The 8,991-nt window shown below is 45.1% G+C and overlaps 1 annotated feature.

The window, feature by feature from the left end:
• Positions 6,996 to 7,768: an enhancer, noted in NCBI's record as "H3K27ac-H3K4me1 hESC enhancer chr18:8948615-8949387 (GRCh37/hg19 assembly coordinates)". NCBI's record gives its function as "activates a minimal SCP1, AML or CMV promoter by ChIP-STARR-seq in primed H9 embryonic stem cells {active_cell/tissue: H9 hESC(primed)}" and the evidence as "EXISTENCE:reporter gene assay evidence [ECO:0000049][PMID:30033119]".

Below are 8,991 nucleotides of genomic sequence, written 5' to 3' on the forward strand. Positions count from 1 at the left end.
CTAAAAATTTAAAAATTAGCCTGGCATGGTGGCATGCATCTGTAGTCCCAGCTACTCGGGAGGCTGAGACAGGAGAATTGCTTGAACCCGGGGGAGGGGGGTGGGGGGTTGGTTGCAGTGAGCCGAGATTGTGACACTGCACTCCAGCCTGGGTGACAGAGCAAGACTCTGTCTCAAAAAAAAAGAAAAAGAAAAAAGAATAGACCAAGACATGAAATGGGGAGTTTGGAAGTGAAGTGTATTCCTAGATGTTTAATATGCAAAGCATGCCTGTAATTAGACTATTTTTTTATAACTCACTTCACTCATTTACAGTTACTGTCTGACTCTCAGAGATATTTGAGTTTCCATCCTTGGTATCAACCTAATATAAGAAAATGTTTTCCTCAGATTTCTTTGGAAGTGAAATGTATTCCTAGGTGTTTAATAGGCAAAGCATGCCTGTAATTAAAGACTTTTTTAAAAACTAACTTCACTCATTTACAGTTACTGCCTGACTCTCAGAGGTATTTGAGTTTCATCCTCGGTGTCAATCTAATGTAAGAAAACGTTTTCCTTGGCTCAAAAGGGCCTACTGACACATTAACTAAATGCAACACATGGATCTTGTTTGGTGCATGATTCAAACAAACTAACCCTGATAAAACAGTTTTGAGACAATCTGTAGAGTATAAACATTGCCTGAGGTTTAGATGGTATTAAGAAATTATTGTTGATTTTTTTTTTAGTGTGACAATGGTATTTTTGTTACCTTTTAGAAGTATTCATCTGTTAAAAAGATAGGCAGTGAAATATTTATAGGTGAAAAGACATGATTTACAGGATTTGCTCTAAAACATTCTGAAGAATGTGCACTTTTGAAAATTTTCCATAATAGATGGTTTAAGAAAAACAGTGTCTACCCCCACGTGTCTAAGCGTCTGGCCCATTATCATGCAAAGCAGCATTTGGCTTCTTTTATCTTTTGTTCTCTTTGTTACTCGGGCTAAAACTACACATCAACGCTCCTGCAATATTGCTAACTTCTTTCCTTATGCTAGAAAACTTCTTTTTGATAGCATAATTCATTTAAATATGTTTAGATTAGCTGATAGTATTTTTATTTAAAATATTTATTTTAAAATTGTATATTTGTGTATGTTTGTATTTATATATTTGTATATAATAAATTAAATTATAATTTAAAATAAAATTTAAAAGAATATTTACTTTAAAATGAGAATATTAATAGTTCTGGAGGTGTTTTGTCTCCACTGGGCCTTAGTGCAAGCCAGACCAGGTTGATGTTGCCATGTTGCCAGCAGAGGCCTGGCTGTGTCCTGGGCACACCCTTGAGGGTCCTGCAGGGCCTCCTCCCTCGACGCCTTCACTGCTCCCCACTGAGCTCCATAACACAGCCCGAGGATGGGCCAGTGATGTGGTTTATACAGGGGACGCCTACGCCACAGGGGCTACCGAGGAGATACTCGTACTCTGATGATAATCACAGGGACTCAGATTTCCAATACACTCATCTTTCGGTCAGCCTACATTCCAGACAAGAGCTTCCTTGAGAAATTCCCTGAAGCTAAAAATGATCCTTCCCAGGTCTAAAAATTATAGTTCTCTATTCCCATGTCTGGCACAATTACCTTCCAGAGGGGCGTACGTGCCCAGCAGGCCCCGCGTGTCAGCTAGCTTGAGTCTCACATGCTTAAAGAAAGGGAAGCAGGGCACTGGAATGAGTGGGCCGCACCCTCTCACCACACCAGGGAAAGGGGAAGGCTAACTCACTTGTCAAGGGAACATGTGAAGCTTTTCGTAAGAGTAGGACCACATTATCAACCTTTAAGATTCTTATTTTACAGTTTATCCACAATTTTTTTTTTCTTGAGGTGGAGTTTCACTCTTGTTACCCAGGCTGGAGTGCAATGGCACAAACTCGGCTCACTGCAACCTCCGCCTCCCGGGTTCAACGGATTCTCCTGTCTCAGCCTCCCAAGTAGCTAGGATTACAAGCGCCCACCACCACGCCTGGCTAATTTTTGTATTTTTAGTAGAGACAAAATCTGCACCATGTTGCTTAGTCTGGTCTCAAACTCATGACCTCAAGGGATCTACCCGCCTCGGCCTCTCAAAGTTAATTACAGGCGTGAGCCATGGTGCCCGGCCAATTTTAAGGGTACTGTAAAAGACTCTCGGTCCTTGGTTCAGAGGTTGCAGGACAGAAATTGGTCATTTGCATCCTAGGCACAGATTGCCTTCAGGTGAGTGGGAAGAGGTGGCAGGATAAGGTGTACATTACTAGACAGAGGTCCCAGACTCATTCTTAGCAAGCTGTGTGAACTTGGACAAGTCTGTTAACATCCTTGCTGTATCCTCTTTCCTGTGTATATGAGTGAGAGAGTGAACAGAAAAATGGACAACAGCCAGACCACATATAAAAATAGAACTCTGACCCACAATCTGCAGTGACCAGCTCAGGAAGCCAACCTACTATCTACCAGTCACCCTTAGAGGAAGTCGGATCACTCTGTCTAGCAAACAACCCAAGCTGGACAATCACCCTGTAACAATTGGCCCCAAATGTTCAAGACTTAATACTTAACTGGCAGCTTCCCTACTTTTTGTCCCTGCTTCCAACTTAGGAACAATCAGAGAAAGTAAAATATGCACCCCTAACCAATCGCATGGGATGACCTACTCCTACTGAGCCACTTACAGCTTCCCCGTGATGACAGCTTCCAATCTGAAGCCATCCTTTTACATGTTGCCTAGGCTGCAGTGCAATGCGCAGTCTTGGCTCATTGCAACCTCCGCCTCCCAGCCTCAAGCAATTCTTGTGTCTCAGCCTCCCAAGTAACTGGGATTACAGGCACACTCCATCACACTTAGCTAATTTTTATACTTTTAGGAGAGACAGGGTTTTGCCATGTTGGACAGGCTGGTCTCGAACTCCTGGCCTCAAGTGATCCACCTGTATCAGCCTCCCAAAGTGTTGGAATTATAGGCGGGAACCACTGCGCCTGGCCGAGCCTTCCTTTTTCTACTAGAAAGCTTTTCCACCTCTCTGCCTGCCTTTGAATCTCTGCCTGCCTTTGAATCTCTGCCAAAGTGCAAGTGATGGTGGCCGACTCCCTTGCGAGCTCTGACTAAAGAGCCTTTGCTCATTCTCATTTGGGTGGTCTTCATTCATCTCCACATGAGACAGGGGTAGACTAAATGATTGATCTAGTGTCCTAATGCTTTTGGATTCTACAAGAATTTACATTTGGTCAACAAGTATTTACTGTGAATCTAGTTCAATGCCAGTCACTGTGCTAGAGGCTAGAGGTATTTGGTGAGTTTCCAGCCTAGCGAGGGAGACACTGGTACATTAAATAATTACACAAACGAATGTAAAATTGCAGCTGTGATGAGGCGCCGCGCACCGTGCATGAGTGCCTAAAGCAGTTGGCCTAGTCAGGGAGCACAGAGAGGATATCCTGAGGAAGTGGCACTTAAACTGAGATTTGAAGAGTGTTGAGAGTTTACCAGGTGAAGAAGAGGAAAGAGAAGGAAAATCCAGGCCAAGGTCATGGGGTGTATGAGGGCGTGGAAGAAGATGAGCCCAGATGGGGCACACAGAGCATGGGGGACAATGACAGGTGAAGTCTGAGGGAGAGGAAGGGACCAGGCCACACAGGGTCTCATAGGCACCCTTAAGGAATTTTGTCTCTATCCAGACACTAGCAACAACTGCAACATAATGACACTGTCCTCACAGGTTCACAAGGATTGCACGCTGGGTTCTAGACAGAAATATAATTGTAATTAAGCATTAATCAGGCTGCACTCTGGCCCACTTCCTTGCTGCTGAAAGTCACTCGGCACTAGGTACTGACCACTGGCATCCCCATTGCTCCCACAGACAGGATTGCTGACATTAATGTCCTAAGACTGCCTAGGAATTGATTTGCATCCCCATTGTTCCTATAGACAGGATCACTGACATTAGAATCATAAAGTCTTCGTTTAAGGATTGCTTAAGATGTTTCTCAGAGCCCAAATTCCAGTGAAACAGCTGACACCAACCAGTGTGAAGACCCCACGGAGGAATGGAATCAGCAAGAGAACACAGCTTCTTCCTCTCCTTGTCCCATGACTTCACCCTGCACTCTTCAGCCAATCAATAATCTCCACATTTTGTCCCACTCCAAACCCTTAAAAACCCTAGTCCAAAACTCTTCATGGAGTTGGATTTAAGGTTCCTTCCCATCTCCTTAGTAGGTGGCTCTGTAATTAAACCTCTTCCTCTGCTGCAAACTGATGTCTTGGCATATTGACTTGCTGTGCGCATCAGGCAACAAACCTATTATGGTTACAATAATAGCTCATTATTGAATTATTGAACAACACTTACTGGAAACTATGTATCCTGAATATACAAAGAACTTTTGCAACTCAGAAATAGAAAGACAAAAATCCATTCAAAAATAGGGTGAAAGCCTTGAATAGACATTTCTCCAAAGAAGCTACACAAATGGTCAGCAAGCACATGAGAAGATGCTTATGTTATTACTCACTAGAGAAAGGCACATTAAAACCACAGTGAGATACCACTTCACTACCACAGTGAGATGCCACTAGGATGACTGTAATTTTTTTTAAAGGAAAATAATAAATGTTGGCAAGAATGTAGAGAAATGGAACCCTCATACATTGCTGGGAAGAATGTAAAATGATGCAACCACTGTTAAAAACAGTTTAAGCAGTTTGGCAGTTCCTCAAAAAGTTGAACATGAAGTTACCATAGCACCCAGCAATTCAATTCCTACATATATACTCAAAAAAATTGAAAATGTATGTTCACACGAATATCTGCACATGAATGTTCATAGCCACATTATTCACAATAGCCAAAAATATAAACAACCCAAATAACCATCAACCGATGAATGAATCAACAAACTGTGGTACATCCATACAATGGAATATTATTCAGTTATAAAAAAGAAGGGAGTGCTGATTCATGCTGCAACAGGGATGAACCTTAAAAACATTATGCTAAGTGAAAGAGGCCAGAGAGTGAAGGTCACATAGCGAATGATTCCATTCAAGTGAAATGTCCAAAATAGGCAAACTCGAAGAGATGGAAAATAGATGAGTGGTTGCCAGGGAACAGGCAGAGGGGAAAAGTGACTGCTTACGGTTTCCATGGTTTCCTCTTGCAGTGATAGAAATGATTTGGAATTAGACAATGGTGACGGTTGCACGACATTGTGAATATACTAAAATCCATGGGATTGTACACTTTAAAATGATGCATTTTATGTTATGTGAGTTTTTGTCTCAATAAAAAAATTGCAAAAAAAAGAAAAAAAAAGGAATTAAGAAAGCAAAAACAGGCAGGGCACGATGACTCACACCTGTAATCCCAGCACTTTGGGAGGCTAAGGCGGGAGGATCACTTGAGGCCAGGAGCTCGAGACCAGCCTGGCCAACATGACAAAACCCCATCTGTACTAAAAATACAGAAATTAGCTGACTGTGGTGCTGGGCACCTGTAATCCCAGCTACTTGGGAGGCTAAGGCACAAGAATCCCTTGAACCCAGGAGGCAGAGGTTTCACTGAGCCAAGATTGCACCACTGCACTCCAGCCTGGGCGACAGAGTGAAACTCTGTCTCAAAAAAAAAGAAAGCAAAAACACAAAAAAGCAAAGAAATTTCTCCAACTGCAATCAGAAAAAAAGGCAGAAGGAGGCTGGGCGTGGTGGCTCACACCTGTAATCCCAGCACTTTGGGAGGCCGAGGCGGGCAGATCATGAGGTCAGGAGATCAAGACCATCCTGGCCAACATGGTGAAACCCTGTCTCTATTAAAAATACAAAAAATTAGCCAGGCGTGGTGGCAGGCACCTGTAGTCCCAGCTACTTGGGAGGCTGAAGCAGGAGAATGGCGTGAACCCAGGAGGCAGAGCTTGCTGTGAGCTGAGATTGCGCCACTGCACTCCAGCCTGGGAAGACTCCGTTTCAAAAAAAAAAGGCAGAAGGTGAAGCCAGAGAGATTCATAGCATGAGAAAGACTCAATACACCATCGGTGGTTTGAAGAAGGAAAGGGCAACGTGACAAGGAATGCAGATGGCCTTAAGGAGCTGTGAAAGGCCCTGGCTGACAGCCAGTAAAGAAACAGGGACCTCAGTCCTTCAGCCACAAAGAACCAAATGCTACCAACAACCTGAGTGAGCTTGGCAGAGATTCACCCGCAGAGCCTCGAATGGAATGCTCCCCTGCTGACAGCTTGATTTCAGCTTTGTGAGACTCTAGGCAGAGGACCCAGCTGAGCCCCACTGCACCCACCCTTTGAACCTACAAAACTGTGAGATAACGATGGATATCGTTTTAAACTACTAAATTAGTGGCAATTTGTTAGGGCAGCAATAGAAAACCAATACATTGGTTTCTTAAACACTTAGTTTCTACCAGTGTATTAGTTTTCCATTGCTGCCCTAACAAATTGCCACAAATTGAGTGGCCTACAGAAAGGTGGTTTGGCTGGACGTAGCATCCCTGCATCATTTTATCTAGTGCTGACTGCAGCATGAATATGGATAGGAATGTCGAGCGTAGGAGAAAAGACAAGAAGACAAGGAAGGAGGTGAGGACGGGGCCATGAGGACTGCTTCAATACATGGCCAGACGGAAAGCCACCAATAGGAGGAGGAGCCATGAGGCTCAAGAAGAGGAAGGTAGTGCTGTGTTACGGTCATTGCTTTGATCAATGCTGTCTCAGACAACAGAATACACTCTAGCTAATTTAAATAAAAGACATGTATTTAAAGTCACTAGCAATTCATAGAATTGTTGGGAAAAGCAAGGACACAGAGGCTAGGCTGAGCTTCCAGGAATAAGTGTCAGAGGAGCTGCTGCCTCTGCCATCATCAGGGAGTCATCGATCTGGAAGCTACATCCCTGCTCTTGGCTGGAGAACCTTCCTGCCCTGCTGCGATGCACAGCAGCAAAAAGTGATGCCTCCAGCCCTGCCTCCCTGCCCAGCATCTCAGTTTCAAATGACAGTCCCAGAGAGGGCGCCTGATGGGTGGAATTGAAACCTCAACTGGAAACAGTGGAGAGGGAATATGGAAAATGTCATTTTTAGCTTTCTCTCCACTGCCAGGAAGGTATGCAAAGCAGGAATAGAATGAATGCTGAATGAGTCAGCCCACAGTATCTTCCTCAGAAGGCAAGGAAGGCCAGTGTTTGAAAGAGGGAGTGGTTAGGCTGGCAGTGTCAGATGAGGCTGAAAGAGACAACGAACCTTTCCGGAATTTAGTAATGACAGGACACCTAAACAAAGCTGAACCAATGCATCACAGAAGTGGAGTCCTTGAAGAATGAATATAAAGTGAGAAAACGAAGACAGTGCCTATTATCAAGTGTTTCCAGAAACTTGGCTGTGTAGAGGTGGAAAGAGACAGGGCGGAGCTGCAGGGGTGAGGGGTGTGGAGGGACAACTCAGAGTCAATTTCCCTTCCTCTCCTTTGACTCTGATTGGTTTGGTTTCCAGATGTCTAAAAACCGATGAGAAAGTCCTTTGCGGGGGGAGGGGGTAGATATAAAGATAAAATAGATCATTCAAAGGGGAAAAGGGCTAATCCATACAGTGAGATTTCCGAGAAGGCAGCAGGGGTGGGGCAGGGAGGCCCAGAGCGCAGGTGGAGAGTGAGCCTGGTGTGGAGTTAGCCACTTCTCCCCAGAGGAAGGCAAGGATGTGGAGGGTGAAAGCGGGCTCGCAGACACGGTAGGAGAAAGACAGGCACAGCCATCTGGTAGCTTCTATTTTCTCTGTGAAGTGGGATGCTCAGTCATCGGCTGAGAGGGAGGAGGAGGAGCGGGCAGCTGAGAGCCAGGAGAGGGACAGCGCGATGGGTCCTCTGGAGAGTGAGAGGGCGAGGGGGGCCACAGACACAGCGAGGGGGGAATATCACACCCCCTGAGCATGGCAGGACCTGCGCGCTGGGGTGTGGCTCTCCTGGAGCAGAGAGAAAGTATGCACACACACACACACACACACACACACAGACACAGACACACAGAAACACAGACACACAAACACACATACACACAGAAACACAGACACAGACCCCCACACACGGACACACAGACACACATATATGATACTTCTTGTCTCATCTGGGATGGGGTTTTTGCCAGATGGGTACAACACTAAGAAAAAATGAGCTTGGGAGTTGGTTCTGTGAACACCTAGCTGGTTTGAGAAGAAAACAGAAAGGTGAGGGCTGAGGGAGTGGGAGAAACAGAGGCCGCGGCACCACTCCCAACCAGGTGGCACCAAGAGCCAGCGTGGCAGAGGAGGGGGGAGGTGCGGGAAGCAAACTGCGGGAGAAGAGGTCGCACTGAGAGAGTGCCGCTGCTGACTTAGGGATGTGCAGTCTTTTGAATGATTGCTATTTTCCAGATCCTGTAATAGACTAAATGATACCCCAGAGAAATTCGAATAATAGTGATGACACGTCCACAGGGGGCAGATTTACCAAGAAACCTAAGCTGTAAGGCCTGTCACCTGTAAGCCCTGGGAGGGGCCCTAGCAGTTTTTATGTTTGTTATTTTGCATATATGCACAAGCTTCAGGGACAAAACTTAGGTCCACCCACGGGCCCCTCCCCAGGCCTTGGAAAAGGACATGCACATAAGGAACACCACAGTCAAAGTTTCCTCAGCATCACGCCATCTCCATCCCGTCATGACATCTAACTGCACTGAAAGAAATGAGCATCTAGCTGAGGTTAAGTTTCTGCACATGTGCGTATGTGTATTGCATAGACTTTAAGGTGGCCCCATGACCCCTGTGACTTGCTCCTAACCAACAGAATATGACCAACGTGATGCAGTGTGACTCTCAGGATTATGTAGTTATATAAGACTTGGTCTGTTTGAAAGATTTGAAGAAGCCAGCTACCCTGAGGTCTACATCTTTCCACAGCCTTGGTGAGTTTGGATGGAGACCCTTA

Source organism: Homo sapiens, chromosome 18, assembly GCF_000001405.40.
Source record: "Homo sapiens chromosome 18, GRCh38.p14 Primary Assembly".
Classification (NCBI taxonomy): domain Eukaryota; kingdom Metazoa; phylum Chordata; class Mammalia; order Primates; family Hominidae; genus Homo; species Homo sapiens.